The sequence below is a fragment of the Homo sapiens genome, chromosome 14 (genome assembly GCF_000001405.40).
Source record: "Homo sapiens chromosome 14, GRCh38.p14 Primary Assembly".
In the NCBI taxonomy this organism is placed as follows: Eukaryota; Metazoa; Chordata; class Mammalia; order Primates; family Hominidae; genus Homo; species Homo sapiens.
In genome coordinates this window covers 63111188-63125798 of record NC_000014.9, presented here as the reverse complement: position 1 = coordinate 63125798, position 14611 = coordinate 63111188, and the positions used below count along the sequence as shown (strand labels likewise).

Sequence of the window (14611 nt, the reverse complement as noted above, 5' to 3'; positions counted from 1 at the left end):
TCAATGATGTGAGTCTGAAGGAAGATGTCCTTTGGGTTATTGGTTCTTGGTCTGGTGAGGAAGAAGTGACATTAACAAATATTCAAGACCCAGTATCAATTACTGTCTATTCAAAAAACAACAACCATTTGTTGTATACCTTCTACGTGGAGGTGCCACAATATCCAAGTGGGGACAGGACCAACAATTGGTGGAATTTCAAGGGGACGGGTGTTTAATAGTATAAAGCTTTGGCAACTACATCAGTGAGCCAGTTCTAAGGAGAATGAAGTCCAAGGGCTAGAATACAATTTCTTGTCTAGATTGAGATAGCAGGCAGAGATTTAAAAAATTGTAATTTGCCACTGCACTCCATCCTGCGTGACAGAGAGAGACTCCGTCTCAAAAAAAAAAGAAAAAAAGCAAAAAAGAGAAGGAGTTACTTTTTTTCTTTTTTTTTTTTTTAGATGGAGTCTTGCACTGTTACCTTGGCTGGAGTGCAGTGGGCCATCTTGGCTCACTGCAACCTCTGCCTCCCAGGTTCAAGTGATTCTCCTGCTTCAGCCTCCCGAGTAGCTGGGATTACAAGTACCTGCCACCTCACTCAGCTAATTTTTGTATTTTTAGTAGAGATGGGGTTTCACAATGTTGGCCAGGCTTGTCTCATACTCCTGACCTCAGGTGATCCACCCCTGTCGGCCTCCCAGAGTGCTGGGATTACAGGTGTGAGCCACCATGCTCGGCCGTAACTCCTTCTCTTAAAGGGACAAACAAGAATCTAGTGATAAGGTGCTGGAACATCAATTAGGAACTTATTAAAGAATAAAAAGGATACAGGGTAGGGGTTCAGTCATAGGGAACCTGGGTCTCAAGGCAGGACGTTGATTGCTGACAAAATGAAGTTTTCTATCAGGGTGGCACCAGAAGTAATGGTTGAGGCTAGACCGATATTCCTTGTGTACGACAAAGATTGGTCTTAGAGTCTGGGAGGGACTTACTGGCTTCATTTATACAAATTGGGGCTATTGATGGGCTGGATGTGAAGGGGTTTATACCATTCTTGCACCCATGGGTGGTGACATTGCTTTGGTTTTGTTAGAAAGAAATGAATGTTTTGTGTATTAAGTGACTAGAAATTCAACAGAAGATAGAAAAATGTAGGTCTGGTTGAGTTATGTCAGGAGAGAGGTGGGTGGTGTGAGTAGAGGGGTGATAATTCAAAAAACATGCAGGAAAGAGTTTCCTCGAGTGTGGTGATTATAAGGGGCTGATTAAAGAGATAGAGACCTCACCCAGTGGGCAGCAGGCAATGCCAATTCTATTCTTGTCTATTCTCCAAAAGACCTATTCTTTCTGTTATGGGTCAGATTGTGTCTCCCTATAAATTCTGACCCAAGCCTCCCAAAAAGAGATGTTGGAATCCTAACATCTAGTACTGCAGAACATGACCTTATTTGGCGATAAGGTCTGTAATCAGTTTAAAATGAGGTCATGAGGGTGGGCCCTAATGCAATATGATTGGTGTCTTTATAAGATCTTAGGGGAAATTTGGACATGGAGAGAGAGACACATGCAGAAAGAAGGTGATATGAAGACACACGGGGCAAGACAGCCCTCCACAAGCCAAGGAGAGAGGCCGGGAACAGATCTTTCCTTATAGCTCAAGGAAAGAATGAACCCTGCCAACACCGTGGTTCTGGATTTTTGGCTTCCAGAACTGTGGGACAATAATATTTCTGTTGTTGAAGACACCTGTCTATGGTACTTTGTTATAGCAGTGCTCCAAATGAACACATGCCTCACACCTGCCTCCTTTGCTGTTTCTCATCCCTGCCCTCTCACTCCAGGGGCACAGGCCTTTCTTTTCTTTCTTTTTTTTTTTTTAATGGTATGAAATTAGTTTTTATTTTTAACTAAAAATGAATGCTTAACAACTTTCCAAAATCAAAACTAAAGATGAACACTTAGAAAAAAGGGTGGAAACATATTTTTCTTTCCCTGGGGAAACCAGTAAGGCAGACATTCTAATGGAGCTTGTTTTTTTTTTTTTTTTCCACAGGACTAGTCTATGCGGATGGAATCTCTCTCCAGCCTTTTCTCTATGTCAGTTTTATCTACCTGGCAAGAAAAAACAAAAACAACCCCAAAACAACCCCTCCCCACAAACACAACACAAAACAAGGGACTCGAAAAGTTGGAGAAAACCTTTTAATGTGTTTCTGTAAAATCCTTTCTTAGGAGGTTTAGTACAGGTACTACCCATCAGCAACTTAGCCGGCCAGGTGAGTTGGTGCAGAAGGGCTTCGGCTGAATTTATACCAGAGCCATCGGGAGTGACTTGGCCACCTCTCCCAATTACCACAAGGAAGTCTTAAAATTGAATTTCAGTTTCAGCAGATACTTCAGATTTACCTGAGCAATATCATAGACAATGTACTCATTATATAGTAGACAAGTGTCATTCACACCAGATGAAATCCCAGTCCCAAGAGGAACCTCTGCACCATCCAGAGTAATACTAGCTGAAGGGTCAGGGGTAGTTTTGCCCAAACCTTTGACACTGTGCTTGCCCTTGGGTAACTTGCTGATATGTGAAGCGTGCTTCAGTTCATACATTTTCCAAGGGCAACTTCTCCCAACAGGATTAAGCCTGTTGGGCCTCCCTGAGATGTATGGCAGTAGTTGGCACTCTTGGAGGCCATGTCAGCGAAATAGATCCCTTTACCAAACATGTAGCCCGTCATGGGCACTTCAGGCGGGGCTATCCAAAGACCCTGGGACAGGATCCCAGCAAAGCTGGTGGTTGTGGACCCGGGGCATGGGCCTTTCTATCTTTTGCTCTTGGTTTATATTTTCCTATCCACCAGTTCTTCTTTAAAATAAATGTATTTGAGTCAAAACAATAGATCAATAAAATATACTAAGTAAATAATTGTATAGATGTCAAGTAGAATGTAGCCTAGAGATCAGTGAAGGAAAAAATAAAGAATACAATAGGACAAAGACCTGATTGGGATAATAAAAAGAGGGAGAGAGAATTGATTTTAAAATCTTTCCTGGGAAAGTTTAAAATCTGTCCTTAGAGAGGAGGGAGCCAAGATGGCCGAATAGGAACAGCTCCGGTCTACAGCTCCCAGCGTGAGCGACGCAGAAGACGGGTGATTTCTGCATTTCCATCTGAGGTACCGGGTTCATCTCACTAGGGAGTGCCAGACAGTGGGCGCAGGCCAGTGTGTGTGCGCACCGTGCGCGAGCCGAAGCAGGGCGAGGCATTGCCTCACCTGGGAAGCGCAAGGGGTCAGGGAGTTCCCTTTCCGAGTCAAAGAAAGGGGTGACGGACGCACCTGGAAAATCGGGTCACTCCCACCCGAATATTGCGCTTTTCAGACCGGCTTAAGAAACGGCGCACCACGAGACTATATCCCACACCTGGCTCAGAGGGTCCTACGCCCACGGAATCTCGCTGATTGCTAGCACAGCAGTCTGAGATCAAACTGCAAGGCGGCAACGAGGCTGGGGGAGGGGCGCCCGCCATTGCCCAGGCTTGCTTAGGTAAACAAAGCAGCCGGGAAGCTCGAACTGGGTGGAGCCCACCACAGCTCAAGGAGGCCTGCCTGCCTCTGTAGGCTCCACCTCTGGGGGCAGGGCACAGACAAACAAAAAGACAGCAGTAACCTCTGCAGACTTAAGTGTCCCTGTCTGACAGCTTTGAAGAGAGCAGTGGTTCTCCCAGCACGCAGCTGGAGATCTGAGAACGGGCAGACTGCCTCAAGTGGGTCCCTGACCCCTGACCCCCGAGCAGCCTAACTGGGAGGCACCCCCCAGCAGGGGCACACTGACACCTCACACGGCAGGGTATTCCAACAGACCTGCAGCTGAGGTTCCTGTCTGTTAGAAGGAAAACTAACAACCAGAAAGGACATCTACACCGAAAACCCATCTGTACATCACCATCATCAAAGACCAAAAGTAGATAAAACCACAAAGATGGGGAAAAAACAGAACAGAAAAACTGGAAACTCTAAAACGCAGAGCGCCTCTCCTCCTCCAAAGGAACGCAGTTCCTCACCAGCAACAGAACAAAGCTGGATGGAGAATGATTTTGACGAGCTGAGAGAAGAAGGCTTCAGACGATCAAATTACTCTGAGCTACGGGAGGACATTCAAACCAAAGGCAAAGAAGTTGAAAACTTTGAAAAAAATTTAGAAGAATGTATAACTAGAATAACCAATACAGAGAAGTGCTTAAAGGAGCTGATGGAGCTGAAAACCAAGGCTCGAGAACTACGTGAAGAATGCAGAAGCCTCAGGAGCCGATGCGATCAACTGGAAGAAAGGGTATCAGCAATGGAAGATGAAATGAATGAAATGAAGCGAGAAGGGAAGTTTAGAGAAAAAAGAATAAAAAGAAATGAGCAAAGCCTCCAAGAAATATGGGACTATGTGAAAAGACCAAATCTACGTCTGATTGGTGTACCTGAAAGTGATGTGGAGAATGGAACCAAGTTGGAAAACACTCTGCAGGATATTATCCAGGAGAACTTCCCCAATCTAGCAAGGCAGGCCAACGTTCAGATTCAGGAAATACAGAGAACGCCACAAAGATACTCCTCGAGAAGAGCAACTCCAAGACACATAATTGTCAGATTCACCAAAGTTGAAATGAAGGAAAAAATGTTAAGGGCAGCCAGAGAGAAAGGTCGGGTTACCCTCAAAGGAAAGCCCATCAGACTAACAGCGGATCTCTCGGCAGAAACCCTACAAGCCAGAAGAGAGTGGGGGCCAATATTCAACATTCTTAAAGAAAAGAATTTTCAACCCAGAATTTCATATCCAGCCAAACTAAGCTTCATAAGTGAAGGAGAAATAAAATACTTTATAGACAAGCAAATGCTGAGAGATTTTGTCACCACCAGGCCTGCCCTAAAAGAGCTCCTGAAGGAAGCGCTAAACATGGAAAGGAACAACCGGTACCAGCCGCTGCAAAATCATGCCAAAATGTAAAGACCATCGAGACTAGGAAGAAACTGCATCAACTAATGAGCAAAATCACCAGCTAACATCATCATGACAGGATCAAATTCACACATAACAATATTAACTTTAAATATAAATGGACTAAATTCTGCAATTAAAAGACACAGACTGGCAAATTGGATAAAGAGTCAAGACCCATCAGTGTGCTGTATTCAGGAAACCCATCTCACGTGCAGAGACACACATAGGCTCAAAATAAAAGGATGGAGGAAGATCTACCAAGCCAATGGAAAACAAAAAAAGGCAGGGGTTGCAATCCTAGTCTCTGATAAAACAGACTTTAAACCAACAAAGATCAAAAGAGACAAAGAAGGCCATTACATAATGGTAAAGGGATCAATTCAACAAGAGGAGCTAACTATCCTAAATATTTATGCACCCAATACAGGAGCACCCAGATTCATAAAGCAAGTCCTCAGTGACCTACAAAGAGACTTAGACTCCCACACATTAATAATGGGAGACTTTAACACCCCACTGTCAACATTAGACAGATCAACGAGACAGAAAGTCAACAAGGATACCCAGGAATTGAACTCAGCTCTGCACCAAGCAGACCTAATAGACATCTACAGAACTCTCCACCCCAAATCAACAGAATATACATTTTTTTCAGCACCACACCACACCTATTCCAAAATTGACCACATAGTTGGAAGTAAAGCTCTCCTCAGCAAATGTAAAAGAACAGAAATTATAACAAACTATCTCTCAGACCACAGTGCAATCAAACTAGAACTCAGGATTAAAAATCTCACTCAAAGCCGCTCAACTACATGGAAACTGAACAACCTGCTCCTGAATGACTGCTGGGTACATAACGAAATGAAGGCAGAAATAAAGATGTTCTTTGAAACCAACGAGAACAAAGACACCACATACCAGAATCTCTGGGACGCATTCAAAGCAGTGTGTAGAGGGAAATTTATAGCACTAAATGCCTACAAGAGAAAGCAGGAAAGATCCAAAATTGACACCCTAACATCACAATTAAAAGAACTAGAAAAGCAAGAGCAAACACATTCAAAAGCTATCAGAAGGCAAGAAATAACTAAAATCAGAGCAGAACTGAAGGAAATAGAGACACAAAAAACCCTTCAAAAAATCAATGAATCCAGGAGCTGGTTTTTTGAAAGGATCAACAAAATTGATAGACCGCTAGCAAGACTAATAAAGAAAAAAAGAGAGAAGAATCAAATAGACACAATAAAAAATGATAAAGGGGATATCACCACTGATCCCTCAGAAATACAAACTACCATCAGAGAATACTACAAACACCTCTACGCAAATAAACTAGAAAATCTAGAAGAAATGGATACATTCCTCGACACATACACTCTCCCAAGACTAAACCAGGAAGAAGTTGAATCTCTGAATAGACCAATAACAGGCTCTGAAATTGTGGCAATAATCAATAGTTTACCAACCAAAAAGAGTCCAGGACCAGATGGATTCACAGCCGAATTCTACCAGAGGTACAAGGAGGAACTGGTACCATTCCTTCTGAAACTATTCCAATCAATAGAAAAAGAGGGAATCCTCCCTAACTCATTTTATGAGGCCAGCATCATTCTGATACCAAAGCCGGGCAGAGACACAACCAAAAAAGAGAATTTTAGACCAATATCCTTGATGAACATTGATGCAAAAATCCTCAATAAAATACTGGCAAACCGAATCCAGCAGCCCATCAAAAAGCTTATCCACCATGATCAAGTGGGCTTCATCCCTGGGATGCAAGGCTGGTTCAATATACGCAAATCAATAAATGTAATCCAGCATATAAACAGAGCCAAAGACAAAAACCACATGATTATCTCAATAGATGCAGAAAAAGCCTTTGACAAAATTCAACAACCCTTCATGCTAAAAACTCTCAATAAATTAGGTATTGATGGGACGTATTTCAAAATAATAAGAGCTATCTATGACAAACCCACAGCCAATATCATACTGAATGGGCAAAAACTGGAAGCATTCCCTTTGAAAACTGGCACAAGACAGGGATGCCCTCTCTCACCGCTCCTATTCAACATAGTGTTGGAAGTTCTGGCCAGGGCAATCAGGCAGGAGAAGGAAATAAAGGGTATTCAATTAGGAAAAGAGGAAGTCAAATTGTCCCTGTTTGCAGACGACATGATTGTTTATCTAGAAAACCCCATCGTCTCAGCCCAAAATCTCCTTAAGCTGATAAGCAACTTCCGCAAAGTCTCAGGATACAAAATCAATGTACAAAAATCACAAGCATTCTTATACACTAACAACAGACAAACAGAGAGCCAAATCATGGGTGAACTCCCATTCACAATTGCTTCAAAGAGAATAAAATACCTAGGAATCCAACTTACAAGGGATGTGAAGGACCTCTTCAAGGAGAACTACAAACCACTGCTGAAGGAAATAAAAGAGGACACAAACAAATGGAAGAACATTCCATGCTCATGGGTAGGAAGAATCAATATCATGAAAATGGCCATACTGCCCAAGGTAATTTACAGATTCAATGCCATCCCCATCAAGCTACCAATGACTTTCTTCACAGAATTGGAAAAAACTACTTTAAAGTTCATATGGAACCAAAAAAGAGCCCGCATTGCCAAGTCAATCCTAAGCCAAAAGAACAAAGCTGGAGGCATCACACTACCTGACTTCAAACTATACTACAAGGCTACAGTAACCAAAACAGCATGGTACTGGTACCAAAACAGAGATACAGATCAATGGAACAGAACAGAGCCCTCAGAAATAATGCCACATATCTACAACTATCTGATCTTTGACAAACCTGAGAAAAACAAGCAATGGGGAAAGGATTCCCTATTTAATAAATGGTGCTGGGAAAACTGGCTAGCCATATGTAGAAAGCTGAAACTGGATCCCTTCCTTACACCTTATACAAAAATCAATTCAAGATGGATTAAAGATTTAAACGTTAGACCTAAAACCATAAAAACCCTAGAAGAAAACCGAGGCATTACCATTCAGGACATAGGCGTGGGCAAGGACTTCATGTCCAAAACACCAAAAGCAATGGCAACAAAAGCCAAAATTGACAAATGGGATCTAATTAAACTAAAGAGCTTCTGCACAGCAAAAGAAACTACCATCAGAGTGAACAGGCAACCTACAACATGGGAGAAAATTTTCGCAACCTACTCATCTGACAAAGGGCTAATATCCAGAATCTACAATGAACTCAAACAAATTTACAAGAAAAAAACAAACAACCCCATCAAAAAGTGGGCGAAGGACATGAACAGACACTTCTCAAAAGAAGACATTTATGCAGCCAAAAAACACATGAAGAAATGCTCATCATCACTGGCCATCAGAGAAATGCAAATCAAAACCACTATGAGATATCATCTCACACCAGTTAGAATGGCAATCATTAAAAAGTCAGGAAACAACAGGTGCTGGAGAGGATGTGGAGAAATAGGAACACTTTTACACTGTTGGTGGGACTGTAAACTAGTTCAACCATTGTGGAAGTCAGTGTGGCGATTCCTCAGGGATCTAGAACTAGAAATACCATTTGACCCAGCCATCCCATTACTGGGTATATACCCAAAGGACTATAAATCATGCTGCTATAAAGACACATGCACACGTATGTTTATTGAGGCACTATTCACAATAGCAAAGACTTGGAACCAACCCAAATGTCCAACAATGATAGACTGGATTAAGAAAATGTGGCACATATACACCATGGAATACTATGCAGCCATAAAAAATGATGAGTTCATATCCTTTGTAGGGACATGGATGAAATTGGAAACCATCATTCTCAGTAAACTATCGCAAGAACAAAAAACCAAACACCGCATATTCTCACTCATAGGTGGGAATTGAACAATGAGATCACATGGACACAGGAAGGGGAATATCACACTCTGGGGACTGTGGTGGGGTCGGGGGAGGGGGGAGGGATAGCATTGGGAGATATACCTAATGCTAGATGACACATTAGTGGGTGCAGCGCACCAGCATGGCACATGTATACATATGTAACTAACCTGCACAATGTGCACATGTACCCTAAAACTTAGAGTATAATTAAAAAAAAAAAAAAAAAAATCTGTCCTTAATGGAGTAATTGACTAAAATAATACTCTATTATATGAATGTTATATTACTGATCAGTTTTGATGTGTAGTAATTTTATTTTTGTTTTTGTCAATCTAAAATAATCTAACTAGTTCTTCTTCTTGTTCATCATAGTTTTTGCTTTATATAGTTGGCTTATACAAATTTATGGTGCTTTGTTTTGTCAACACAGATTTCTGTCTTTTTGCTGCTTAAGTCTTTGCCTGTAATTGGTATGTGTCCCTGGCTTAATTTTTGTTTCTGTATACCTGACAAATATGTCACCATCCTCTTGTTTTTGGCATGAAGTACTCCCAATTTAATTCTACGGTCTGATGGGCATTCATGTGGTGTGGCACTGCCTTGTGGAGGTAGGATCGTATTGTACTTCTACTGCCTCTGACTCTGTAATTCATTGTGGTGCATGAAAAATTATAATCCACAGCATCTTCTTCATCCAGGACTCTTTCTTTTTTTACTTCCCTTCAAGGTTTTACACAAAGGATTGTGTATCTCAGGATGAAATACTGGCTCATGCTCCTTTTCCCGCCTTCCTATTTAGTTGTTTCTGTGAAGTGAAGTTGCAGTCACCTGGTATATGCAGAAAGTGATGTGGCACTACTTGAGCAGTGTGGGGAGTGATGTCTCAGAATGAATTACCATTATGGGAGAGGGACATGCTCAGTTTCCCATTAGTGCAAACTCAGAACTTCTGACCTGAGGGCAAATAGTAAGTATAATGGACATCATTTTGGCCATCCCATATGTATTCTCACTTTTTCTGGTAATAAATTCATTTTTTTTTCTTCAGAGAACTACCCCTTCTGTATTCTCCAGGGCTATATGGGGTGGGAACAGGGAAGCAACAATTTTATTAGAGCACATTTTCCCAAAGTGATGCCTTCTTAGAAAATCAGACCTATAAGAAGGTGGCCAAGGCGTAGTTTTTTACATCTTACTCTCCCTGATGGTAGAAATCTGGCAGTGAGTGATGCTGTTCCACACAGTTCCTATGGTTTCAAAGGGGCTTCTCTCTTGGCTCCAGAAAGAAGGCAGTGGCTCTGGCATGGCCAATCAGAGCATTGCATGTCCCTTCCCCGGATCACAGTGATTCATTCAAAGATGGGATGTGTCCCAGGCAGAGCCAATGAGACATAAAGGGCTACGGCATGGAGCCTGAGATCCATTCAGTTCAACCAACCCAAGAAAAGACAGTCAAAATATGAAGAGGAGCTATCTTAATAATACTGTTTAAACTCCTAGGTTAAGCTCTGCCTGAACTTTTATGCTCATTTTAATTAGATTTCTATCATCCAGCTACATTGTTGAATTGGAAACAAAGGAGCACTGGCTAAAAAAGAGGCAGAAGGATATATTATTTCTCTGCCTTCTTTTAGTCATCTTGTTACCTATGCTTCTGGTATCAAAGCATATATGGGCCGCCAGTTATTTTTCATTCCTACTTTAATAGCTTTACAGTTGAAATTCCTTGCACATTTTTATAATATAATAACAACCCACGTTTTCTCTTTCTGGTCCTTGTAAATGGTAGGAGGTTGAATGAGAGTTAATGAAGGATTCTTTATCAGATGCACTTTAAACTGGAATGGTGATACTGATGGTTGAGCTTTATTATATTCTCATTTGACAATCTTTCCCAGTCATTTCGTGTTGATTCCTTATTAATTATGCTTTTTAGTTCAGCTGCTTGTAGCAGCACATCCAGGTGAGAGTAGCTTAAACTAATTATGTGCTTTTGTTTTCTCATGTAGTGAGGAATTGAAAGTGGGCAGTGTAGCGTTGGCAGGATTGTTCTACGATGACACAGGGACCTGGCTTCATCTATCATACTGCTCAAATATCAAATATTCTTTCAAAGAACTTTCTTGGAAGCCCTATCCAGTGACTTCCACTTATTTCTCTTTGGCTCCAACTGTCACATGGCCGCCCCTAGCTGCAAAGGAGGCTGGAAAGTATAATTTCTTAGTTGTGTCTATGGTTGCTTCAAATAATAACAGTGTTCTTTCAGTAAGAAAGAAGGAGAGAATGAGTATTGGCTAGGTGGCTGACAGTCTCACCTATAAGGAGAATAGGTATTAGATAGAAAACTGCAAGTCTCATCCATGGACTTCCTTTTTTTTTTTCTTTTTTGAGATGGAGTCTCACTCTGTTGCCCAGGTTGGAGTACAGTGGTGTGATCTCGGCTCACTGCAACCTCTGCCTCCTGGATTCAAGCAATTCTTCTGCCTCAGCCTCCCCAGTAGCTGGTATTACAGGCTCCCGCCACCATGCCTGCCTAATTTTTATATTTTTAGTAGAGATGGGGTTTCACCATGTTAGCCGGGCTGGTCTCGAACTCCTGACCTCAAGTGATCCCCCGTCCTCCGCCTCCCAAAGTGCCGGGACTACCGGCGTGAGCCACTGCGTCCGGCCTCATCCATGAACTTCTTAATGCAAGCCCCTTTCTGACATGCTTAATGCTTTGTGTCTATTCCTGTATTTTGGGGGTTGTTATTAGTATTAGCCATAATTTTTTTAGGCATTGTGTCTCTTGCCTGCAGTGCTCTGTTCTCTAAGTTTAGTCTCTGAAGCTCACCCATACTGGTATATTAAAGGATACAAGTAGATTACATGTTACTTTTGTTCAGGATAATATTTTACATATTTAGGTTATGGCTGCAACAGTAGTATGCTGGAGCTAGCTCTGTTGGCCCCTGAGAGCTGGTTGTTAAATTCAGGAATTTTTTAAGCTGGCTGTTAAACATGCACATCATTAAAAAGTGAATTATGTAAACTTATAATGAAATAAATTATATTAAAAACAAAGGAAATAAACATTCAAAACTCATTACTTCTTAATTATTTTACTCTGTTATCTCTGCCTTTGAAGCTTTTTATGTTTATTTTGTCTATGTGATGAAAACTATATAATCGTGTGCTACTGCTCATCTCTTCCCAATTCTGCATTCAATGACAACATGTTGGTAGCTGGGAAGGGTCATAGTGGGAGTGTTTATACCATGGAATCAGCAAACGCTACAAATGAACACCTCATTTATTGTTGTGTTGATTGTCTATCTAGACCTAAGAAAGTGGTGGGGAAAATGTTAATAATGCAGATTAAACTTCAGTGTGTGGTGGTTTAGCTGTTTTGTTGTGAATTGCACAACAAATTGAGAAAATATTCTTTTAGTATTAGGAAACTCTTAAGTGGTTTGGCAAAGAAGCTGTTCACGTCCTTGATGAACTAGTGAAGCTTCAACATAGATTTTAATTATTTCACAGTTATCTTACTCATTAACATTAACCAAAACATCAATCAAAATTCAGGTCGGAACTACACCCAGAGAACCAACTGTTAAATATTTACCAGCATGCCATGGCTGAAACCCAAAGGGGAAGAAGTACTGTTCTTGACTTGTGGGCTAGAGTTGGGTCATATTGGAAAGCAACAGCAAAGGATTTGCTTTGCCTGGGATGCAAGGCCAGCATGGCACCTCTAGACCCTGCCTCTAGCTGCTATCTGCTTCTTAGGCTCAAGTTGGACCTGCCTTGCACCATGTTCACGGACTCGCTTTGATAATATTCCTTATGTTGTGTGTGGTTTTCCTAAATCAAATTATGCTTACTTAATACTTTAAACAATATATGGTTGGTAGGTTGTATTTGATCTCCCATGCCATGCGCTACAGGCTTTTTGGACAATCAGTAGTACCCACGCACTCAGTATCTCCTAACTTCTCCTTTTTCCCATTACTTACTGGGAGGCTGGCATTTACTGACATTTATAGCTAGCTACTTTGAAAATAAGAGAGGCAGCAGAATTCTTTAGAGCACTGAGTCCAGAAAATTGGACATGGTCTACCAGCTCAGTAAAAGAGTTTTGCAGAATCACTTTTTCTTGTCAGCTTGTGACATTGTTGGCTACTAAGCTGGTGGTGTTTTCAGATGAATAAAGTAAAATTTCATTAATTTAGACTCCATTAGTATAATTTTGAACAAAGTTTGGTTTGGAGTTTACAGGTATACCATTCATGAAGAACAAAGGTGTCAAATGAATAGTCAAACGAGAAGAAGGAAGCAAGTGCACAAAAACTTTCAGGTGCTTTAGCAGACTGCTTGCCAATGGTTTTGTTTGCCAGTGTTGCTAACTAGCTAACCATTAATGCAGATCTTGTGGGCCTCTACTTGGCAGAGGTCACTAGGTGTGTACAGCTTATTAAAAAGTAATGCAATTGCATATCTTTAAAAATCATCCATGATTCAGATTTTTCACAAATTCAGATTGGTATTTTTCTTCAAGTAGACTCAATTAGGTATTACTGTATATGGATTTACGGAGAATTCTCAAATATTAGATAATACATTGCATATAACCTCATTGGAATGTATTTCTCCTTGTTATGAAAATATTAGCATTTTTCATCCCTTAGTGTATTTAGGTAGTTGGAGTATGAGTGTGTGTATGTGTGTGTGCATGTGTGTGTTAGAGAAAGGAACAGCCTGGGGTCTCCTCCCCTTCTATTAATTTGACCATTCCTTTTCTGAGTCTTGTCTTGCTACTCACTACTCTTCACTCTGCCAATGGACATGAATTTATTTGCTAAGAGTTAAACCCAGTAACAAATGACCCACAGCTCCTTCAAGACAACATTGTCCATGTCTCAAGGGCCACTGTGGAGTGTTTGGTGGAGGAGGTAGTAGAGATAACAAACAATATAGCAGGGATCACTGTTTTTCTTCATGTTCTTCTTCACTTCCTTTCAAGAGTTTGCTGTGCTAAGTTGTACTAGAGGAAGACATTTAACACTTTCTTCAAAGCATTATCTTTCCCATGGCTCAACAGAAATGTACCCAAGAGGTTAAATCATTGTCAGATAGCCACTTTGTGGGCCATCATCATTCCCTGTAACATTTCCCAACCTTATTCCTGTATTCTGAGGCTTACCTTCTCTTCTAATTTCCTTTGGGTGAATCTCTGCCCATCTTTTGGAAATTCTCTCCACAGGGGCAAGTCTGGCCTCAACATCCATCTCTTTTACCCAATAGTAAATTTCTTTAAGTTTGAGTGATAGTTTGGAAATGTGCCTTAGGACATCTGGGTGGGGCAGTCTTAGATGGCCTTGGAAAGGAATCCAGCTCTGGGAGACAATCTAGGTGGGCTTGAGCTCTCAGACTTCTTCCCCTTCAAATCTCTCTATTAAATGAGCGGCAAATATGCCCTTTGTATTCTTTGTTAGTGATTAACTGTTTTTTTCTCTCTTTCTTTGTTGCTGTTGCCCTCTCTCTCTCAAACATACATGTGCGTGCGCACACACACACACACACACACACACACCCCACACTACCACACATACACTCTGAGGACAGTATAAATTCTCAGAGATAGTAAAGTATAAACCTACAAAATGGAAAAATATTCCCAATTGCATTACAAATTCTGAGGCTACTTCCCTCCAAATGAAATATTTCACATTATGATGCAGAGCATCATTCCCTCACC

At 41.2% G+C, this 14611-nt stretch overlaps 1 long non-coding RNA gene and 1 pseudogene across 1 annotated transcript in view; one reads left to right on the top strand and one right to left on the bottom strand.

The window, feature by feature from the left end:
* LOC105370531 (LINE-1 retrotransposable element ORF1 protein-like) overlaps positions 1-6199 on the top strand; it is a 58110-nt gene extending 51911 nt beyond the window's left edge. The window contains exon 4 of the long non-coding RNA XR_943934.4: positions 2039-6199. This is a non-coding gene — a long non-coding RNA (LINE-1 retrotransposable element ORF1 protein-like). The remainder of the gene's footprint in view (positions 1-2038) is intronic.
* PARP1P2 (poly(ADP-ribose) polymerase 1 pseudogene 2) lies at positions 1864-2798 on the bottom strand (annotated as a pseudogene).
* Positions 6200-14611: the final 8412 nt, after the last annotated feature.